The sequence below is a fragment of the Homo sapiens genome, chromosome 7 (assembly GCF_000001405.40).
Source record: "Homo sapiens chromosome 7, GRCh38.p14 Primary Assembly".
NCBI classification, from domain to species: Eukaryota; Metazoa; Chordata; class Mammalia; order Primates; family Hominidae; genus Homo; species Homo sapiens.
In genome coordinates, this window is record NC_000007.14 from 98,279,689 (window position 1) to 98,299,223 (window position 19,535).

General features: G+C 56.9%; 2 protein-coding genes across 15 annotated transcripts in view, besides 9 other annotated features; one reads left to right on the top strand and one right to left on the bottom strand.

Annotated features, from left to right (window-relative positions):
* Positions 829-1,813: an enhancer, noted in NCBI's record as "H3K27ac-H3K4me1 hESC enhancer chr7:97909829-97910813 (GRCh37/hg19 assembly coordinates)". NCBI's record gives its function as "activates a minimal SCP1, AML or CMV promoter by ChIP-STARR-seq in primed H9 embryonic stem cells {active_cell/tissue: H9 hESC(primed)}" and the evidence as "EXISTENCE:reporter gene assay evidence [ECO:0000049][PMID:30033119]".
* Positions 829-2,019: a biological region, named in NCBI's record as "H3K27ac-H3K4me1 hESC enhancer GRCh37_chr7:97909829-97910813".
* Positions 1,510-2,019: a silencer, noted in NCBI's record as "silent region_18393". NCBI's record gives its function as "represses an Ori minimal core promoter by ATAC-STARR-seq in GM12878 lymphoblastoid cells {active_cell/tissue: GM12878}" and the evidence as "EXISTENCE:reporter gene assay evidence [ECO:0000049][PMID:35858748]".
* Positions 1,998-19,535, top strand: part of BRI3 (brain protein I3) — a 41,745-nt gene continuing 24,207 nt past the window's right edge. For 6 of the 14 annotated variants that reach the window (XR_007059996.1, XR_007059997.1, XM_017011933.3 and 3 more), the window contains exons 1-2: positions 1,998-2,289; positions 2,663-2,765. Coding sequence is in view for 9 of the 14 variants with exons in the window: in XM_017011933.3 (XP_016867422.1) it covers positions 2,108-2,289; positions 2,663-2,765 (285 nt within the window). In the remaining 5 variants the exon portion in view is untranslated. Of the gene's footprint in view, positions 2,290-2,662; positions 2,766-11,422; positions 11,858-12,950; positions 13,276-19,535 lie in introns of those variants that run through there. The other 8 variants (XR_007059999.1, XR_007059998.1, XR_007060000.1 and 5 more) reach the window with 4 other exon arrangements.
* Positions 2,150-2,489: a silencer, noted in NCBI's record as "silent region_18394". NCBI's record gives its function as "represses an Ori minimal core promoter by ATAC-STARR-seq in GM12878 lymphoblastoid cells {active_cell/tissue: GM12878}" and the evidence as "EXISTENCE:reporter gene assay evidence [ECO:0000049][PMID:35858748]".
* Positions 6,383-7,095: an enhancer, noted in NCBI's record as "H3K27ac-H3K4me1 hESC enhancer chr7:97915383-97916095 (GRCh37/hg19 assembly coordinates)". NCBI's record gives its function as "activates a minimal SCP1, AML or CMV promoter by ChIP-STARR-seq in naive H9 embryonic stem cells {active_cell/tissue: H9 hESC(naive)}" and the evidence as "EXISTENCE:reporter gene assay evidence [ECO:0000049][PMID:30033119]".
* Positions 7,808-8,520: an enhancer, noted in NCBI's record as "H3K27ac-H3K4me1 hESC enhancer chr7:97916808-97917520 (GRCh37/hg19 assembly coordinates)". NCBI's record gives its function as "activates a minimal SCP1, AML or CMV promoter by ChIP-STARR-seq in naive H9 embryonic stem cells {active_cell/tissue: H9 hESC(naive)}" and the evidence as "EXISTENCE:reporter gene assay evidence [ECO:0000049][PMID:30033119]".
* Positions 11,962-19,535, bottom strand: part of BAIAP2L1 (BAR/IMD domain containing adaptor protein 2 like 1) — a 109,441-nt gene continuing 101,867 nt past the window's right edge. Inside the window, exons 13-14 of the mRNA NM_018842.5 lie at positions 14,386-14,423; positions 11,962-13,908 (exon numbers count right to left, since the gene is read on the bottom strand). Coding sequence (NP_061330.2) covers positions 13,833-13,908; positions 14,386-14,423 — 114 coding nt within the window. The 3' untranslated portion in view covers positions 11,962-13,832. The remainder of the gene's footprint in view (positions 13,909-14,385; positions 14,424-19,535) is intronic.
* Positions 15,388-15,617: an enhancer, noted in NCBI's record as "active region_26307". NCBI's record gives its function as "activates an Ori minimal core promoter by ATAC-STARR-seq in GM12878 lymphoblastoid cells {active_cell/tissue: GM12878}" and the evidence as "EXISTENCE:reporter gene assay evidence [ECO:0000049][PMID:35858748]".
* Positions 16,226-16,340: a silencer, noted in NCBI's record as "fragment chr7:97925226-97925340 (GRCh37/hg19 assembly coordinates)". NCBI's record gives its function as "represses an EF-1alpha promoter that drives an FKBP-Casp9 reporter gene in an ReSE screen in phorbol 12-myristate 13-acetate-treated (for megakaryocytic differentiation) K562 erythroleukemia cells {active_cell/tissue: K562(+PMA)}" and the evidence as "EXISTENCE:reporter gene assay evidence [ECO:0000049][PMID:32094911]".
* Positions 16,951-17,452: an enhancer, noted in NCBI's record as "H3K4me1 hESC enhancer chr7:97925951-97926452 (GRCh37/hg19 assembly coordinates)". NCBI's record gives its function as "activates a minimal SCP1, AML or CMV promoter by ChIP-STARR-seq in primed H9 embryonic stem cells {active_cell/tissue: H9 hESC(primed)}" and the evidence as "EXISTENCE:reporter gene assay evidence [ECO:0000049][PMID:30033119]".

Below are 19,535 nucleotides of genomic sequence, written 5' to 3' on the forward strand. Positions count from 1 at the left end.
GACCTCAAGTGATCCACCCACCTCACCCTCCCAAAGTGCTGGGATTACAGGCATGAGCCACCACGCCCGGCCCAGTCTTCACTCTTGATCTGGCTGTTCATCAGTGCCAGGGGCCACCCCTCAGTTCCCTAGTGTACCTGGACCACCCCTCAGTTCCTTTTTCGAGGACTGTGGGTACGATGACTAGGACAGCAGGTACAAGATCGATGGGAATGGGCTTCGAAGAGCTGGTCTTGTGATAAAGAAATATGATGGTCAGGTGGGCTTGGTGGCTCATGCCTATAATCCCAGCACCTTGTGAGGCTGAGTGAGGAGGATCACTTGAGCCCAGGAGTTTGAGACCAGCCTGGGAAACATAGCAACACCCCATCTCTACAAAATATAAAAAAAAATTAGCTGGGCACTGTGGCGTGCACCTGTAGTCCCCAGCTACTTAGGAAGCTGAGATGGGAGGATCACTTGAGCCCCGGAGGTCGACGTTGCAGTGAGCCAGGGTTGCATCACTGCACTCCAGCCTGGGCCACAGAGTGAGACTCTGTTAAAAAAAAAAAAAAAAAAGATATATATATATATATATATATATATATGTATGTGTGTGTATATATACATGTGAATGATGATCCCTTATTAAAAAATAAAAATAAGGCCGGGTGCAGGGGCTGACATCTGTAATTCCAGCACTTTGGGAGGCTGATGCAAAAGGATTGGTTGAGGCCAGCAGTTTGAGACTGGCCTGGGCACATAGCAAGATCCCATACAAAAATTTTTAAAAATTAGCTGGGCATGGTGGCGTGTGCCTGTGGTCCCCAGCTACTGAGGAGGCTGAGGTGGGAGGATGGCTTGGGCCCAGGAGGTCGAGACTGCATTGAGCAATGACTGTGTCACTCTACTGCAGCCTGGGTGACAGAGCAAGAGAGCCCCCCCAGCACCCCCTACAAATTTTTTTTTTAAAAATTAAAAAGGCGCGGTTCGAGAAGAGCTGTAGTCGTCCCAGAGCTACAGTGCAGGTGATATCAAAATGCAGGTGAGAAAACTGGAGACAGAATACAGTAACGGATACAGGTGCCCCTGAAAAGGTGCAGAGGCGCTAAGGACGCAAGCAATCCTGAACGTTCCAATCGTTCGTTTTAAAGTTGTCCTGGCCAACCCGTGAAGCCTTGTATGAGGAAATGTTTCAACGAGGGCGCCTGACGCAGTCCCCGAGGCCAGAAAACACCCAGGTTTAGATACGGGCTCTGACCCGCACCTGCCACAGCCAAATCCCTCCCCCTTCTGAGCCCGATCCCGTGTTGTCCTCCAGGGGTAAGCAAAACACCTGGCAGGGCTGCCTGAAGATTAGGGAAACTGAGGAGACGCGGCAGGTGCCCAGTATTTATAGTTTTGTCCCCAAACGGGGGAGTTATTTGTAAGCACTGGCTACTACCCCCGTCAATCACCTAATTGTCCAAAAAAAGGCAAACGGAGGGAATGCGCCGCAGCTGAGCACCGCGCAGGCCGCAGCTGAGGTGCACACCCGGGTGTGCCCTTTGTATTGCTGGAAGCGCTGGCGATCATAGGGGCAGAGGGCTGGCGTTGGGGCGGCCTGGGACCCACCCGGCCCCGCCCCCTCTCAGGCCCCGCCCTCCCCCTCCTCCACCGGTAGGGGGACCTCGGCCGGCCTGGGAGATCGGGGCGTAGGGGGAGGTGGGGGTGCATCCGCGAGCCCTAAAGGTCATGACCCTATGGGGCGTCTCTGGGTCGTCGTGGGGGATGGGCGGGGGGGGGGGTCTCCCCGCCACGGGAGGTCTAGAGAGCAGCGGCGGCGGGGCGGGGCGGAGTGCAGAGGCGCCGCCGGCGGGGCGGCTTCGGGAGGGCGCGGCCCCTTTAAGACGCCCCGCCGGCCCCGCCCCCGAGCCCCGCCTCCCGCCGCCCACGTGACCCCGGTCTTGTGACTGGGCCCGGGAGGGCGGGGGAAGCCCGCGGCTCGCGCCCGCCCCGCCCCGCCCCGCGTCTGCCTCAGAGGGGCCCGAGCCACCCGGTCCGCCGCGTCCCCGCCGCCGCCGCCGCGTCCCCCGCCGGGGCCGACCGAGCCGAGCCGGGCCGGAGCGGCGGGCGCGGCCGGGCCGCCATGGACCACAAGCCGCTGCTGCAGGAGCGGCCGCCCGCCTACAACCTGGAGGCCGGCCAGGGCGACTACGCGTGCGGCCCGCACGGCTACGGCGCCATCCCCGCCGCGCCCCCGCCGCCGCCCTACCCCTACCTCGTCACAGGTGGGCCCGTAACCAACTTTCCCCGCCGGCGGCTTCCGAGGTGGCAAGCCCGGTCGGGGGACGTGGGTCCGGAGGCGGGTGGGGCCCGCCCGGGGGTCCTTCCTGGAGCTGGAGGTCCCCGGGCTGGCTTCGGGACCCGGCGCCGCCGAGGGCCAGCCTCCCCCCCGGGGCTCTAGTCCTCGGGCCCGTCGTAACCCGGCGGGGCCGGATCCCTGCCCCAGATGAACTTTGTGTCACGAGGCGCTCGCTGTTGGCAGATTAGCGCCGAATCAGGCCCGCGGTGGCCGTCCCGAGGGTGGAAAAGACCGGGGGCTTTTTTAGCGGGGTGGAGGTTGAGGGGACAGGATGAGTAGTCCCCGTGGCGGTCCGATTTCTCCTCCCTGCACCCTAATGACCTGCTTTCCCGCCCACAGGGATACCCACCCACCATCCCAGGGTCTACAACATCCACAGCCGGACCGTCACCCGCTATCCTGCCAACTCTATCGTGGTCGTAGGAGGCTGTCCTGTCTGCAGGTGAGTGGGTCTGCAGCCTGGGGACTGGCCCTGGAAGCTCTGAGGACCCCCGCCCTAACCCCCAGGACCTCACAGCTCTGCTTGTGGGAGTGGGTCCGGCTTGACTTGGATCTTGACCAGAGCCCTTTATGGGAGGGACAGACAGGCTGCCCGAATGCGGTGTGGGAGAGTGCGGGTCCGCTCACCCTTGGCTCTGAACACATTTTGTGGGGGCAAAAGGGTGGATTCCTTTTCCTAGATCTTGGGGCATTGCACCCCAAGTGATTGGGATGTAGAAATGGTAACAACGGGACTCGTGGTCCTTTCGTCTTTGTTCTGGGACTTGCAAGGAATCAGGTGTCTGCTTTTTCCTTCACTTTCCGCAAGTTTACTCTGCAGTTGATCGTCGAAGGTGGTGGAAGGTTTCATTTTCCCGGAAGGGGCATTTGGAAGTAAGTGCACCAGCAGGACAGACCTCAGTGGGAGAAGCGACGGCCGTAAGAGCTGCTTTATCCAAAGTTGGCTTGAAACGCTCTTCCACGAGCTGGACCAGGATGGAAACCCCGTGTTTCTTTGAGGCAGGAGTTATTTTTTTCATATCCTCGCATTGGACCTGCACACGCTTTTTGGTTTTTATAGGGCCCCGAGGTGCAGCTAGAGGCTTGTTTTGTGGAGGTTTTGAGGATTCACATTTAAATAAGGATTAATTAAATATAAACCCTTGGCAGCTGGGGGTGTTCAGATTGCTTAGAAAGTAGGGGCAGAGTTGGCCGGGACAGGGTTTTCAGCTGTGTCTCGGAGGAGGAAGTTGAAGCCACTGAGATGGAATTAAGAAACCCTGGTTTGGACTTAGACTTGATTTCAAAAGTGTGTGTGTAAGGCCTAGAGTGGAGTCACGGGGAAGTGAGTGATTTCAGAGCCTTAGCAGGCAACTTCCTGGGAAGGAAGGGCAACCTAGAGGTGGGGACAAGAGGCTGGGACCTCGGGGGCAGGTTGTGGCTGCTTGCCTGCACAGGGACCCCGTGACAAACCCTAACTGGGACGTCAGTTTGACACAGTTGGTCACCACCCAGCAGAAACATTAGCCTTTGGAGTGAAGGTGGAGGGAGGGCAGGGTGGGGCGCTGGCTGCCTTCGGGACATAGTTCTCTCCCGGAGCTGCACCGGGTTGGGGGGCTGGCAGAGCTGTGTGAGTGTGAAGGCACATGGAGGGGACTCAGAACATGGAGGAGCAGAGGGTCTGCCTGCGTGTCATTGTCCATGCCCTGCCATCCCGGTGTCCAGCCTGCCGGAGGAGCCGGGTTCCGGTCCTGGTCCTGCCAGGAACAGCGGGGCTTGTTTCCCCACCTGGGACGTGGGGGTGTCTGGTGAGGTGTCTCTGAAGCTCTTAGCTCTTCTCTGCCCAAACCCCTGAACTTGGAGAGGTGAGAGACCAGCGGCAGCGAGGGATGGGCCAGATATCCCAGGGCTGGGGGGCGCCGAGGTGGTGGCGCAGTTGCTGTCGGTATGGGGGCACTGGCCCTGCCACTTCCCCTTCCCTAGGTGGGAACTGTGTCCCTGCGGAGGCCCATGGCTTCCGCTAACCTGGAGGTGCTCTCCAGTTATGCAGAACCTGGAGCGGGGTCAGACTGTGCTCTGCTGGGAAGGATCTTGGGCTCGGCCCTCAGAGGCTGTAGGGGTGTGGGGTCCTTGGTTACTTAATCACTGCTCTCTGCCTCTGGGCAGCTGCACCAGGCAGGGTGGAGGCTGGGTCCTCTCTGGACAAGGTTGGGGGGTCCTTAGTCCTTTAAGTTGGGACCAGAGCACTCTTGGATCCTGCGGCGACCCCTTGGGTTGCAGCCAGGCCCTCCCAGCACACACGTCCCTGCGCTCTGCCCGTGGTGCCTTGGATGCTGGAGAGTGGCTCTGGCTCCCCGAGGCTTTGCCTCTGCAGCTGCATTGGGCATGGGATGGGCCCCTGTGCCCTGTGGCAGCCAGAGGGCGAGCAGGGGGCTGGGTGCTCTGCTGCTGGCGTGGGTGGGGTGTGTGGTCCCTGGGCCACTCCTCTCTGCGAGGAGAGTGGAGACGGTTCCCTGAACACACAACACACACGTCTGGCCGCTGCCTGGCGTCTTGGCCCGGGAGACAGGATACCACTCACATGACCACACTTCCTCCTGCCCCAGGTCCAGCCCGCCGGGCTCTGTCCCCCTCCCTGCCTGGTGGCATGGCAGGAATTTGCCCAAGTCACACATCTGTTAGTCCTTCTGAGTGAGGCTTGGCCAGAGAAGCCCGTGTCCCTTGTGGCTCTGCTGCCCTGGCCAGGCCTTCGCTGAAGCTGCCTGACTCCATCTTCCCTTTCTAGCCGTTTATGAGGAAGCATTTCCGCAGCCTGGCGGCGGATATGTCCCTGCTCCTCCCACCCTCCTGCTTCACCCCTGCCCTGCCCTGCCCTGCCCTGCCTTGCCCTGCCCAAGGCCTGGGCCTCCCTGAAGCCAGGTTCTCCCTTGCCCAGGGAGGCCAGTCATTCTTTGCTGGGGGTGTGGTTGTACCTAGGTGCAGGATGAGGTAGCTGCGCTGGGAGGCTCTCCTGGGCTGGAGCAGAGCCTGCGTCCTGCAAGCGGGGAAGGCAGGAGTGGGGAAGGCCCCTGGCCTGCACCAGGCCCCCATGAGTACTGGCTGGGCTGTCACTGGGTATTTAGTTTTGGGGGTGACCAGAGAGAGAGGAAATCCTGGAAAGGATTTCACTTTTCCTAGGGAAGGTGAAAAGAACAGCTGTGGAGGGCGGATGTCGCTCAGAGGTCCAGGGTGCGGCTCAGTGGCCAGCGTGGAGGCTGCCACGGCCCTTGGGGGGCAGAGGTGGGCTGTGGAGGGCACGGGGTGGTGACTGTGGAGCCCGGGAGGGGCTGGAGGGGAAGGAGCCTGTGACAGCCTTGGGCTTCCAGACGATGGAGGTGGAGGGGCTGCTCCCTCCTACCACCTGTGACCTGGAAGCCAGAGCTCCCCTGGTTGAGGAAGTGGCTGAGTTAGCTGGGATGGCTCTGCCCATATGTATGGCCTGTGGGCTGTCCCCGTCCTGACAGTCTTGGCCTGAGGTGTGGGGGCAGCGGATGGGCCGGAGCTTGGGCCTGGGCTGCTTGCTGGGCAGGGCTGCAGACCTCGGTGCCCAAGTGCTCCCTCAGTGGCCTCCTGAGTCTCTGACCTTGGGCTCAGCCCCCAGCTGTGGGCCAAGTGGCACTGCTGGGGTGGGTGTGGTGGCAGGCAGAGTCTCCGGGCACCTTCTCAGGCCTTTCTTCCACAGGGGAGGCGAGGGCTGGCCCTGGCCATTGGGTTTGCTGGGAATGGCCCTGGGAGGTCCTGGTGAACTGTCCCTAAGCCAGGCAGCTCCCCTGTGGGGAGTGGACACCCTGGGACAGCCAGAGCCTGGCTGGAGCTGCTTTGGGGCCACCTCGCCCTGCGCTGAGCATGGCTTCAGGCCCTCAGCCCTCTGAGGAAGCCCTGCGTCTCCCCTTTTCCTGGCGAGGCCTGGCCTTCCAGCGGGGTGGTGGTCTGGGGTTGTTCCTGGGCGTGGATGGTGCCTTGAGGCCACCATGTGCGCAGAGGGCAGCTTGGTGCCCTAGGGCCAGCCCCCTGTGACACTGCCTTTGGGGGCTACCTGGGAGGGAGAACTGGGACCTGCAGGATGGGTGCTCGTGACTGGGGAGCCCATCTGGGTTCAGATCCCAGCCACGCCTTTCCCGGCTGGGAGTCCCTGGACACACCCTCAGCTTCAGCCTCCTGTAAAGTGCCTGTGGGGACACAGGGAGGGCGAGGATGGCCTTCTCCCTGGGCAGCTCAGAGCCCTGCTGCCAGCCCCCTCTGTCCTTGGTGAGGCGGGAGCCCCGCGGCCTCTACTGTCCCAGGGCCCAGCTCTGAGTGGATGACAGTGGCATGACTGGCCACTTTCACTGCAGGACTGGAGTCGCCTTAAGGGAGTGCTCTTGGAATTAGTCAGTTCCCTAATTTCGCCAGTGGCCATGGTCCCTCCCTGGCCGCGTGGCTTATTGCACAAGAATGGGGGAGGGGCGGCTAGAGAGAGCCGGTCAGGACCAGAGCGGTTGAGAAGGTTGAAACCCACCTCACCAACTCAGGTGGGCTCTTCCGGGTTTGGAAGGGAGGAGAACTCGAGGCTGTGGGGACCGCAGGTGTTCCGGGGCAGGGGTTCCCCTTCTGCCCTCCAGTGCTGGGGACAGGACTGCCCTGCAGCTTGGGGAGTCTTGACCTAGAATCTGGATTGTGTTTCTCAGTTCAGAAGATTTGGGGTTTTAAAAAGTAAATGATGCCAACACTCCTTTTGAGGTCTAGGGCAGTACTGCAGTTAAAACTTTAATATTTCTGCAGCAAGACATGAATATTCAGATAAAGTAGGATAAATTACGACTATAAATAGCCACACACCAGTTCAGGTCACATGTTGCTGCCAGGTGAGTTTGCTGTCAAGTGACAGCGAGTTCTGCCTTCAGCGCCTCTTGGCGTTTGAAGTTGTGGGTACGGCTGTGGAATCCTGGGGGGTAGGGAATGCTGCCCACCCTTAGGCTGACCCCAGAGCCAGAGGTGAGGGCCGAACTCTCCTGGCCAGCCCTCGGGCCTTCGAAGCCCGTTCAGAGCTCTCAGGCCCAAGTGCTCGTTCTCCCGGGCCGGGGTTCTCAGGTCTGGATCACAGCCTTCTGTTGCTGGCAGAGGCCTGAGCCTCCTGGGACAGCTGGATCTGTCCAGCTCCCGGGCGGCACTGCAGGGAAACAGGCTCGCTCTCCCCAGAGACCCGGGGGCCTTGGCCCTCCTACCCTCTCTTTAAGCGGTGTGGAGGTGGGCAGGAGGGTGGGGGTTGAATGGACCAGGGATAGGGAGGCTGCCTTAGGAGGTGCCGGAGTGGGTCCCTGGACTGAGGGGCTCAGGCCAGGGTGGCACAAACGGCCCAGCCCTGTGCTCTGGCTGAGGATGGGATGGGTCTGGACAGAAATTCCGTGGGTTGGAAGGAGGGTGTTTCCCTGTGCCTGGGAGGCCGTGGGGTCAGCACATTAGGTTTGGCCCATTGTGCTGCTTGCAGCCCCGGGGCTGGGAATCAAGGTGCTGGGAAGAGAGGCGCCGGGGCCTGGGTGGGCTGGGCTGGCGCTGCTGGAAATCCTAGCACTCAGGTGGGCCGGCGCCCTGGCCCGTGGCAGTGGGAGTGCAGCAAGAGTGAGCAGCCTTCCTGCACTTCTCAGCTCTGACAGAGTAGGTGGGTTTTGGGTCTGGATGGAGAATTAGGAAGCAGGAGGGCGCTGCTGCTCTTGGACTTGGGTCCCAGGCGCGAGCAGCAGCTGCAGGTGGGAGGCTGGTGTGGGCGGGGCCCCCAGGCAGCACTGTGAAGCCCCACCCCTGCCCATTGCACCATCACACCTGGATGTCTCTGCTGCGCCCCATGGGCGGGCTCCAGCCGGGCTCCCCACCCACACCCCTTTGCCCAGCCTCCTCCCAGGCATCTCTGGGCCTTTGAACAGGCAGTCAGCTCTGCCTGCAGCCCTGCCTCTCAGCAGCTTTGGTCCTGAGGTGAGGTGCTCAGATGGTCACTGATTGGGCTGGCTGAGGGGTGCCCGGTGACACTGGGGACCACTCTGGGGGGTGCGGGCCTCTCCCCTAGAAGGATTTCTCAGCCGGTTCACCCTCCCTGTCTGCTTTTTCATGGGACATTTTCTAACCAGAATATACAGCCAGTGTGTTTCCTGGGATTTGACCGCAGATGCCAGGAAGAAAAGGGAAGAGGAAGCTCCCCTGAGAGGCCTGAGGCCACTGGCTCCCTCCAGCTCCCCCGGAACCTGTCATGGCCATCTGTGGGGACACAGCTGGTGCTTGGCCTTCCCGAGGCTCCCCCACCTCGACTGTGTGGTCTTGGGAGCTGTGGCACCTGGGGGAGAAGGTCCTGGAGCCAGGCAGGGCGTGCTGCAGTCGGCAGGGCTGGGCGGAGGTGTCCTGCCCAGTCTGGACTGGCAGGGGCAGCCCTGGGCAAGGCTGAACAAGTGTGGTGGCCTGACGACCTTCTGGGGCTTAAATAGGGGACACATTTGTAAAAGCCCACACAGGAAGTAGAAACTTTCCTGGCAGACTCTGGTCTTCTGCTTGGCTTTGCCTTGGAGCTTCATGGTGTGCCCTGCAGCCCAGCTCAGCCCCTCCACACAGACAGGTGGCGTTGTGTGAGTTTGGGAAACACTGGGTATAAGAGTGCTGCAGGACTTCTCAGAGCCTTTTGAGAACGAATGGACATAGGGACTGTAGGAGAAAAGTTTCCCAAAATCGGCTGAACAATCCCCCTTTTCCAAATGCATACCACTGTGTCTGGCTAATTTTAAATTTTTGTAGGGAGGGGTCTTTGTTGCCCAGGCTGGTTTTGAACTGCTGGCTTTAAGCGATCCGCCTCAGCTTCCCAAAGTGCTGCAGTTGCAGGCGTGAGCCACGGTGTCCTACTCCACTGGAGATTGCTGAAGGGACCTCCCTGAGTAGGCTAGAGGGAGGCAGGTGGGCATGAAGTTTTTTTCTTTTTTCTTTTTTTTTGAGACGGAGTTTTGCTCTTGTTGCCCAGGCTAGAGTGCAGTGGCACGATCTCAGCTCACTGCAACCTCTGCCTCCCAGGTTCAAGCAATTCTGTTTCAGCTTCCCGAGTAGCTGGGATTACAGGTACCCACCACTACGCCCAGCTAATTTCTGTATTTTTAGTAGAAACGCGGTTTCACCATGTTGACCAGGCTGGTCTCGAACTCCTGACCTCAGGTCATCCACCCACCTCGGCCTCCCAAAGTGCTGGGATGACAAGCATGAGCCACTGCACTTTGCAACTTTTTCTTTCAGCAGTGGAAAGCCCGACTTCAGAATATTCTGGTTTATTTTTCCATAATCCCCGGAGAAGCAGGGAACAGGTTCTGTGGGTGGGGTTTGGGCTCCCCAGCCTGCTTTGCCCAGCAGGGGTGGGGGCAGTGGCCCTCATGAGTCCAGACCCCCAGGAAGCAGCTGGAAACATCCAGGGGGCTGGGATGGGAGTAGGGTCCCCCAGATGGCCAAGTTTTCTCCCCTTAGCAAGGCACAGGTAGTCATGCTTCCCTGTCGCAGGCAGGCGGCTGCACTGCCTTGCTGTAGGCTCCCCTTCCCCCCTAAGCACCAGGTCCCATCATCTATCAGACAGCCCCACCCTGTTGTGTTTTTCTGTCCACTCACTCCAGCACTGGCTGGATGGGGGGTTTGGGCCCCCAGGAGGCCCAGAAGGAGCCCGTTGGGGTCTGCCTGTCTGGTGGGAGCAAAGCTTTTCTCATTTGGGCTGAGCTGGCTAGTGTGGTTAATTTCAGCTGTGTCCAGAACTTTCCAGAAATAGCCTAAGGAGCTGAGCTGAGCACTAGGCTTCTGGCTTCCTACTTTTAGGGCCTCTGAAACTGACAGTTGGGTTCGATGATGATTTCAGGTCACTGAACCTAGGCTCACTGGCGCAGGATTTGAGGGATGGCCTGCAGGTGTCTTTAGTCTGTTACAAACATTGAACTTTGTTGAAGAGGCGGCTTTGAGATCACATTTCTCAAAATAAGTGGCCTTCAGACATTGTGTGAACATGGCCGACTGTAGTCTCCCATTAACCCACCCCCGCTACCAAAGGAACGGAAATCGAATAAAAGCCCAAACCTGACTGGATCACTAAGCTGCTAGTTGCTCCTTTTCTAAGAGCAGATGTATGTGGCTTGTGGCACCAAAATGATCATGCCTCTCAAGGTTGTTTTTTTTTTTTTTTTTTTTTTTTTGAGACGGAGTCTCGCTCTGTCGCCCAGGCCGGACTGTGGACTGCAGTGGCACAATCTCGGCTCACTGCAAGCTCCGCTTCCTGGGTTCACGCCATTCTCCTGCCTCAGCCTCCTGAGTAGCTGGGACTACAGGCGCCCGCCACCGCGCCCGGCTAATTTTTTGTATTTTTAGTAGAGACGGGGTTTCACCTTGTTAGCCAGGATGGTCTCGATCTCCTGACCTCATGATCCACCCGCCTCGGCCTCCCAAAGTGCTGGGATTACAGGCGTGAGCCACCGCGCCCGGCCATCTCTCAAGGTTTTACTTTTTGAGATGGAGTCTCGCTCTGTCGCCCAGCCTGGAGTGTAGTGGCTTAATCTCGGCTCACTGCAACCTCTGCCTCCTGGATTCAAGCGATTCTCCTGCCTCAGCCTCCCAAGTAGCCGGGACTACAGGCATGTGCCACCACGCCTGGCAGATTTTTGTATTGTTAGTAGAGACAGGGTTTCACCGTGTTGGCCAGGCTGGTCTTGAACTCCTGAACTCAGGTGATCCACCCGCCTCCGCCTCCCACAGTGCTGGGATTACAGGCGTGAGCCACCACACACCCTGCCTTGCCTTTCAAGGTTAACTGATGAGTCCTTTCAACTGTTTTATTCTTCCCGTTTTCTTTGAATGTTACATGTAGTGATTAAATAACTATGGCCATTCCATGAACGGGTACGTGCAGCTGGTTCTTGGGGCTCTCCAGGCCAGTGGGCTGTAGCTGGGTGGTGGGGTGGGGGGCTGTTTTCTGTCACTCGCCAGAGGTCCCCATGTGACTCATGGCCACTGGTTGGTTATTGAATGCAAGGGTGGCAGGGGTGAGGGTTCTGGCTGCCCGGGTCCTTACGGTGCCACCCTCTCTGCCCGTCTCTGCTGCAGGGTTGGGGTGCTGGAGGACTGCTTCACCTTCCTGGGCATCTTCCTGGCCATCATCCTCTTCCCCTTTGGGTTCATTTGCTGTTTTGCCTTGAGGAAGCGACGATGCCCCAACTGTGGAGCCACCTTCGCTTAAAGGGAACACCAGGCCCGGCTTTCCTACACCCAGCTCTCTTTTTCTAATGTAAATGTTGTGTACAATAATTTTATTTGATTAAGCTTCAGGACTGTTTTGTAAAGCGAGGTGGGACCGATGTGGCACACGCCAGCTGCGGTTTCCCGGAGCGTGGAGAGGCAGTGCTGCTGCTCCCGCCCGAGGCTCATGACAACTCAATAAAGCACTGCTTTTATTTTTTGCAGTCTTCAATTTGAGAAAGGTGAGAAATAATGTTTTCAATAAATGAGATTCATACCATTGTTGACCTGGTGCTGCTTACTCGGTGCTTTCAGAGACCCAGGAAAGACTGGAACGACACCCCCATCGCTCCCCCGGCCAGTCCTGACCACAGTTGTATTCAGCAGGCGCTTACAGCTCAAGAAAATGTTTTCAAGTTCTGCTTTATTATTAAAGTTGTAATCCCTTGATATTTACAGAGCAGGCACCTCGGTGCCAAGGACCAGGCCATGCCCGTTCTGGTCTGGGAGGCAGAACCTGGGGTTGGGTGAGCCACGGGGTCTGCAGGTTGCATCCGAGACCCCCAGGTCCTATTCTTCCACCCCGTAACAAAACCAGAAACCTCCCCAAGGCAGAACGCCAAAGGCCAGGTGTCACCCACACCCCAGCAGTTCCCCTTAGCGCCAGATGGGGCTCCCTGAGCCCTGTGGCTGAAGTGGGGAACACGGCCATGGGGCTTGTGTGGACTGAATTCTCATGTGGCTGCAGCCCTTTCTGTAGTACAGACTGGGGTTGTTAACATAGTTCATGGTGCCTGCAGCCCCTTCATGGTGGGGGTGCCTGGTTTGTCCTCCCAGGAGAAGCAGATGGTAACACTGCTGGACCTGGCTGGAAGGAGCCTGAAGCATCGGCCACGTCCACTGGCTTACCTGCATGTAACCTTTCCCAATCTCAGCCTCATAGGATACTACACTTATGGCAAGGCTAAAGGAGAGGGGATAAGTCACAGCCCCAGCACCCAGCAACACACACGGTGAGCGGCCGGGCTGGAGTGCAGCAGCATGATCTGGCTCACTGCAACCTCTGCCTCCCGGGTTCAAGTGATTCTCCTGCCTCAGCCTCCTGAGTGGCGCCCACCACCACACCTGTCTAATTTTTGTATTTTTAGTAGAGACTCCTGACCTCAGGTGATCCCCCTGCCTCGGCCTCACAAAATGCTGGGATTCCCGTACCTGGGCCGGGCTGGGAATTTTAACCATGACTCTCCACTCCAAAATAGGTCCAGATCCTTGGCAGCCAAAGATGATTTCCAGCCCCGGGCTCAGGGCAGCCAGTGCGTAGTCCTCACATCCATACCATAGGGCCAGGTTCCGAGGGCATCATGGCTGCTAGGCTGAAAAACCCGCCCTTCTCCAGGCACCAGAGGTCATCCTGGCTTTACACGTATCCTTTGAGAGTCTGTACCTGATTCAAACACGGAGAAACCAGGACCCCGAGCAGTTTGAGTGTACTGGTAATGGATGCAGCTTTGGCCAACTAGCTGAGTGAGAACACAAGGAGCCGTGACTCCGACGCCCAGGCCTGTGTCCTGGATGGGCCGTGTGCAGCGAATCCGTTGGCGACTCCTAACTACCAAGAAAAGGAGCTCTCGGAGGAGATTTCGTCGAGTGCTACGTGTGGCTGTGATAAGGGCAGGCAAAGCGTCTTAGCACTCTACAGCTCTGGCGTGGTTGGAGGGAGGGTGGGGGTTTCTCCATCTCTGGAAGCTCTACACTTAAACATTTTAAGTTAAATTACATTTATATAGTATTTTCATAATTTATATTGCTTAAAATTATGATTTGCATGCTAAGATGCAAACTTACGTGATATCTTCTTTAGACATAATGCTATTAAGAGCACATGCTTTATAAAATAAAACTGGTCTCATTCATATCAGGTGCAGAAAGCCAGTCCTGAAAGCATAGACTATCCCTTATTCTGGCTGTTATTAAGGAAAAAATTCATTTAAAAAATACAGTAAAGATTGAAACCAAGTTTACTGTTTCTTGAACAGAATAGGAAGAAAATATTTTAAATGGCTGAGCTGGTCATTAGACTATTACTCATTTATCTTAAAGGCAGAAACTTGTCAACCCAACTACGTGAAACAGAGAAGCATGATTTGCTTAAGCAGGCGACATTAGAGTTAGGCCTCTCCACTGAAGCTTCCCGACCGTCAGCACGTGGCAGACAGGATGCGCCCATCATTCCGCAAGGGAGAACCGGAGAGGCCCGGGAGAGTCCTTGGCTGTCCTCTCATCGAATGATGGGTGCCGAGCGATCATTCGTCACAGTCGGGCGGAGTTTCACAGTGGCAAAGGGGTTTTCTCCGCTGCAGGGGATAAGAAAAATCTTTCAGAACTTCTGCTCTACGAGGGAAACTGGATTTTAACAGTGCTAATAACCCGTTCTTGCCCTGTGAGACTGGGCGGCTGACCACCTCCCCAGCTTGTACAGGTCCCAGCAGCGTTTTCTGAGTGTGAAAGTTTTGTTCAGTGATGATTCCTACACCATACCACCTGCTGCAGAACGATCCCAGGTTTTAAGCGTTCTGGACGTGGGCACCCACACCTCTTTAGTCCTGCATTGTGTGTGACATGGGGGTCACTCTGGGGTGGGGAAGCCCTGCTCCCAGCGTGGTCTAAAGTAGTTGGTAAAGCGAGCAGGGGGCTGCACTCCCCCATGGCTCCACAGGCCGAGGCCTTTCTCAGGCTGGACCCCCTGGGCTGGGCACCGAAGGCCCTTCCGGGGGACACTACAGGGAAGAGCAATGTCACACACTGAGGCTCACGTAGGAAGCCACGCCTACCTGAGAAAAGGCGGCTTTGCAGTCCCGTTGGCATCGTTCTGTGAGAAAGATAAAGAAGTTTATGGAGGGCTTAGAATTGGTCTTTTAAAAATTATTTTAGGTAGAGATGGGGATTTGCTATGTTGCCCAGGCTGGTTTCGAACTCCTGAGCTCACGTGATCCTTCCACCTTGGCCTCCTAATGTGCTGGGACTACAGGTGTGAGCCGCTGCGACTGGCCTGTATTGGAGATTTTTAATAAGACCCGAAGGTAAAGACATCTAAAACATAAGGGATGTTTAAAAGTGCCCTGTCCCAATCTGTTAGACTGTCTAAATTCACTTGGAAGAATAAGGCAAGAACAGAAAACGCTCTGAAAGGCGGTAGCGGCCCTCCCAGGTGTCAGAGCGTGAACAGAGCATGGCACTGCCTGCGCGGGTCACCCGTGATGTCGGGAGCTCACATGTGAACGAGCCGCCTGCTAAACTCGGAAACAGTTTCACAAAATGAAGCTTGAGCAACAGAGCGACATCACAGAAGAAAACATTTGTGCCAAACAGAACCTCTCAGACTCGGGGCAAACAGAGATCCCACAGGTCCTCAGCCACGGTCTTTTGAACGCAGAATCTAGTGACTGGGATGTGCTTTTTGGGAGCTGACTCCTGAAGCATGACAAAGAAACAGGAAATAAAAATAAAACCCCACTGGCTTTGGGGCTGCTAGAGCCAGGGATCTTGTAGGAAGCTCAAACTGAGGAAAAGAGAAGGTGGAACCAAAGTGCAAAGGTGCCTACAGGGCTCGGGTGGGGAGCAACTCCTTCCAGCACCTGCCACCCAGGGCGAGCCAGGGCCAGGTGTGTGCGCGCCTTCTTTCCCTCACTCCAAAAAGCCTGGAGGGTTTAACACTCTTTCCTGCCTGCACACAGGGAGTGGAGTCAGGCAGCCGCCCAGGAGAGGGCAGTGTAACACTGTGTAACCAGCCTGTGGCCCGGCCACACCGTCCTGACAGCCCCAGGAAGCGTCCCAGCACCCCCAGGGGGTCTCAGGGAGCACGCAGACCTCTCAAGATTGACTTAGGGGAGGCCCTCTCATGCCCGATGCCAGCGCTAGAGCGCAGGCCGTTCCTGGACATGGAGGCCCAGGCCAGGCCTCCTCTGGGATGGCCTCCACTGCATGTTGGGTGTACAGGCTGTGGAGACGGAAGGCAGTTTGGGAGCCCCAGGGCTGTGCCTGAGACCTGTCCCACCCTCCCCAGATCCCCTGGGCAGGGCATCTGGGGCCAATTCATTGTCTGCTTTTCATCACTGGAGCACAAAGCCACTGACCTGCCTTGCACATCCTACAGGGCTTTAAATGGCCGCAAAAGTGACTTCCTGCGGGGCACTCAACGCTTCCCTAGCAGGCCTCAGAGGAAGTCCTTGCTGGTGTGAGGTGCATGCTCTGCGATTATGATGGGCTAATTTATGATTTAAATGCACCAGGGTGCCTGTCGCATGTGCTCACGGTGCTGGCATTCGTGGACTCTGTTGCAGAAGGGCCATGGCTGGGCCTGAGGCACGATTCATGCCAATCCTGACTCCACTCTGCCCTCCCCTCCTCTCCCACTGGAGTCATCTGACTCCTTGGGGCCAACACCATCTCCCTCACATGTGCAGCTTATGCTAGGGGAAGGCGCTTCCCAAACTAGAAACCAGAAACACCCTCCACCCACCCCAAGCACACCCCGGAGCTTGTTCAGAGCCTCCTGGGCCCCCACGGGACTTTAAAAAGGTCCCAGTAAATCCTCACAAAGAACGCAGCAAGAAGCACCGACTCCTGCCAGGAGGACTGAGGAGGAAAAAGAACGCTTAAGATGACAGCTGGAAGCCACTCAGTGTTGGGCCAACCCCGTGCACGCATGCCTGGGGCCCAACAATCCTGCTCCCTGTAGGAACAAGCAGGGCACACACCCATGGGCACCGAGACACTCGGGCAGCCCTGGAGAAACAGCCCAGACCAGAAACACCAGACGCCCGTCAATGGGAGAGTCAGAACCAGCTTCTGTGCAGACAGCAGGTCACCACACAGCACTGAGCGACTGTCCCTACGGGGCCACCCCAGACAGCCATCTCTGTGCCAGGGCTTGGGGAGTCTGGTGTTGGAGAAGGGATGGTCACGGAGGTGGGCCATGCTGGGTGATCGTGGGGGCCGGGAACGTCCTGCTGGGTATACGGAGTCACATCATGAAAATTCATTGTGTGCTTTTCTGTCTGTGGTATTCTGTAATACAATGTTTACTTTAAAATATGTATTGGGCCAGGGACAGTGGCTCATGCCTGTAATCCCAGCACTTTGGGAGGCTGAGGTGGGCGCATCACCTGAGGTCGGGAGTTCGAGACCAGCCTGACCAACATGGAGAAACCCCGTCTCTACTAAAAATACAAAATTAGCTGGGTGTGGTGGCGCACGCCGGTAATCCCAGCTACTCAGGAGGCTGAGGCAGGAGAATCGCTTGAACAGGGAGGCAGAGGTTGTGGTGAGCTGAGATTGCACCACTGCACTCCAGCCTGGGCAACAGAGTGAGACTCCATCTGTAAAAAACAAAAAAACAAAAAACCAACAAAACAAAAACAGAAACAACAAAAACATATTGGACGTGTTCAGGCAGATTTCCCGTTTAACATCTGCATGTTTCTCAGGGACCTGAAACCCCAGCACTCCTTCTGGATACAAGGCTGGCAGGAGCCTCTCTGCCTCCCTCTCCACTGCAAAGGAGACCCACGAGGGCAGGGGCTTGGCACATACGGTGCCTCTTATCTGGTGGCCCCCAAGGGTCTCACAGCATCCTCCCTGCGTCCCTGTCTCAACCGCATACCTCACACTCAGCCCACTGTGGTGGTCACTGAACATAGACCTGCCCTCCTCTCTGTTCCCTTTCCTTGCAGTGGGGGACACCTCCAAGCCACAGGCAGCACTGCCACCGGCACCCAGGGCCCCGCGGGCACTGCCTGCTGCATGTCCTGTGTCCCCAACAAGACAGGAGACCACTAAGGCCACGAAACCAGCAGCCACTACGAGAGTGGTTGGGCTGCAACTGGAGACTATAGAGCGAGGCCACCAAGCGGCTGACTGCGGCCAGGGTGGACACATCTTGTGATCCCCCATCTCCCGCAAGAATCCAAGAATCCAAAATGTGTGTGTGGACACTGGCTGACCACCCATCACTCGATGCCTGGTCCACACCCCCTTCCCGACTGTACGGAGCTTCCAGGGTGCCCACCACATAGCCATGCGCCCAGGTTGGGGGACTAGTTGACCTGGCTTTCAGAGGGGTCCCGGGCAGCTCGGAGCACCGAGCACCACTTTTTCCCTTGGGCTGCAGCAGAGAATGCTGGTGGCCCTCACTGCAGAGGGCAGGACAGAGTGAACAGGGCCAGTGCAGGTGGCCTTGCTCCTGAGCAGAATGGAACAGCCCTAAGGAACATTTCCAAGCCAGCTGGAGGCCAGTTACTCGCAACAAAAGTGGCCCTCACTGACACCTGTCTTCAGTGTGAAAACCCATTCCAGTCCTCGTCTGTGGCCCGGACTTGTCTTCCAGTTCACTTCTGATCTAGTTCAACCCCTTTATTCTCAAAAGGGGGACGCTGAGGCCCAAACAGGGAAAAGCCAACTGCTCCGAGCCACTGGGATCTTTTTGGAAGCCGAGGCACCCATGTTGTGACGCAAACGAAGATGCGTGCAGGCCTGCACCGGGGGCACTGGCGGCTCTCAGGAGGGGCTCACGCCACGTGAGGGCGCGCTGTGAAATGCAGGCTTGCTTTTACAAAGGAGAGCTGTGTGCTTATTTAAAATGTTGGGAGGGAGCCAATACTTCCTCACTTGGAACTGCAGTAGAAAATACGTAAATTAAAAAAATTCAGGCCGGGCACAGTGGCTCACGCCTGTAATCCCAGCACCTTGGGAGGCCAAGGCAGGAGGACTGCCTGAGGTCAGGAGTTCAAGACCAGCCTGGGCAACATAACAGGATCTTATCATTGTTAATAAAAACTTAAAGAGATATCACGTGACCTGTGGCAAACCCCTAGCTTGAGTCCTGGCAAGTCTCCCCTGCCCCCTTGGGAGAAGCCCCTGCTCTCAGATCGTCTAATAAGACGCGCCGTCACAGGACAGCTGTGGGGCTTCCCAGGTGAGTGGGATGCTCTATGGACACCTAAGGTTAAGCATTCCAGTGTCACACGACCTGTAACTCACAGGAGCTGGATATAAAACCATGTATAAAAATGCTTTTAAAAAACATTAGGGGCTGGGTGCGGTGGCTCACGCCTGTAATCCCAGCACTTTGGGAGGCCGAGGCAGACGGATCACAAGGTCAGGAGATCGAGATCATCCTGGCTAACACGGTGAAACCCCATCTCTAATAAAAATACAAAAAACTTAGCCAGGCGTAGTGGCGGGCGCCTGTAGTCCCAGCTACTCGGGAGGCTGAGGCAGGAGAATGGCGTGAACCCAGGAGGTGGAGTTTGCAGTGAGCCGAGATGGTGCCACTGCACTCCAGCCTGGGTGACAGAGCAAGACTCTGTCTCAAAACAAAACAAAAAAAACATGAGGATGCTTTCCCAGCTCTCATGGATCCCAGTGTTTGGCCTGGGATATAACACAGCTTTCCCCAACATCATCAGCTGGTTTAGGCATTTTGGTTAGGGAAAGCTAAGTTATTAATCGAGGTGGACATAAAAAGGCTGAGACACATAATTCCAGGACTGTGTCCCCAGCCCTCAAGGGTGCCAGAGGCCCCCGGGGCTTTCAGGTGGCAAAGGCTGCCATTGTTTTTGAGACAGGTCTTGCTCTGTCACCCAGGCTGCAGTGCAGTGGCACAATGACAGCTCACTGCAGCCTCGACCTCCTGGGCTCAATCGATCCTCTCACCTCAGGCTCCTGAGTAGACTACAGGTATATGCCACCATGCCTGACTTTTTAATTTTCTGTTTTTTGGTGTTTTTTTTGAGATGGAGTTTTCCTCTTGTTGCCCAGGCTGGAGTGCAGTGGCGTGATCTTGGCTCACTGCAACCTCTGCCTCCCGGGTTCAACTGATTCTCCTGCCTCAGCCTCCCGAGTAGCTGGGATTACAGGCGCCTGCCACCATGCCCAGCTAATTTTTTTTGTATTTTTAGTAGAGACAGGGTTTCACCATGTT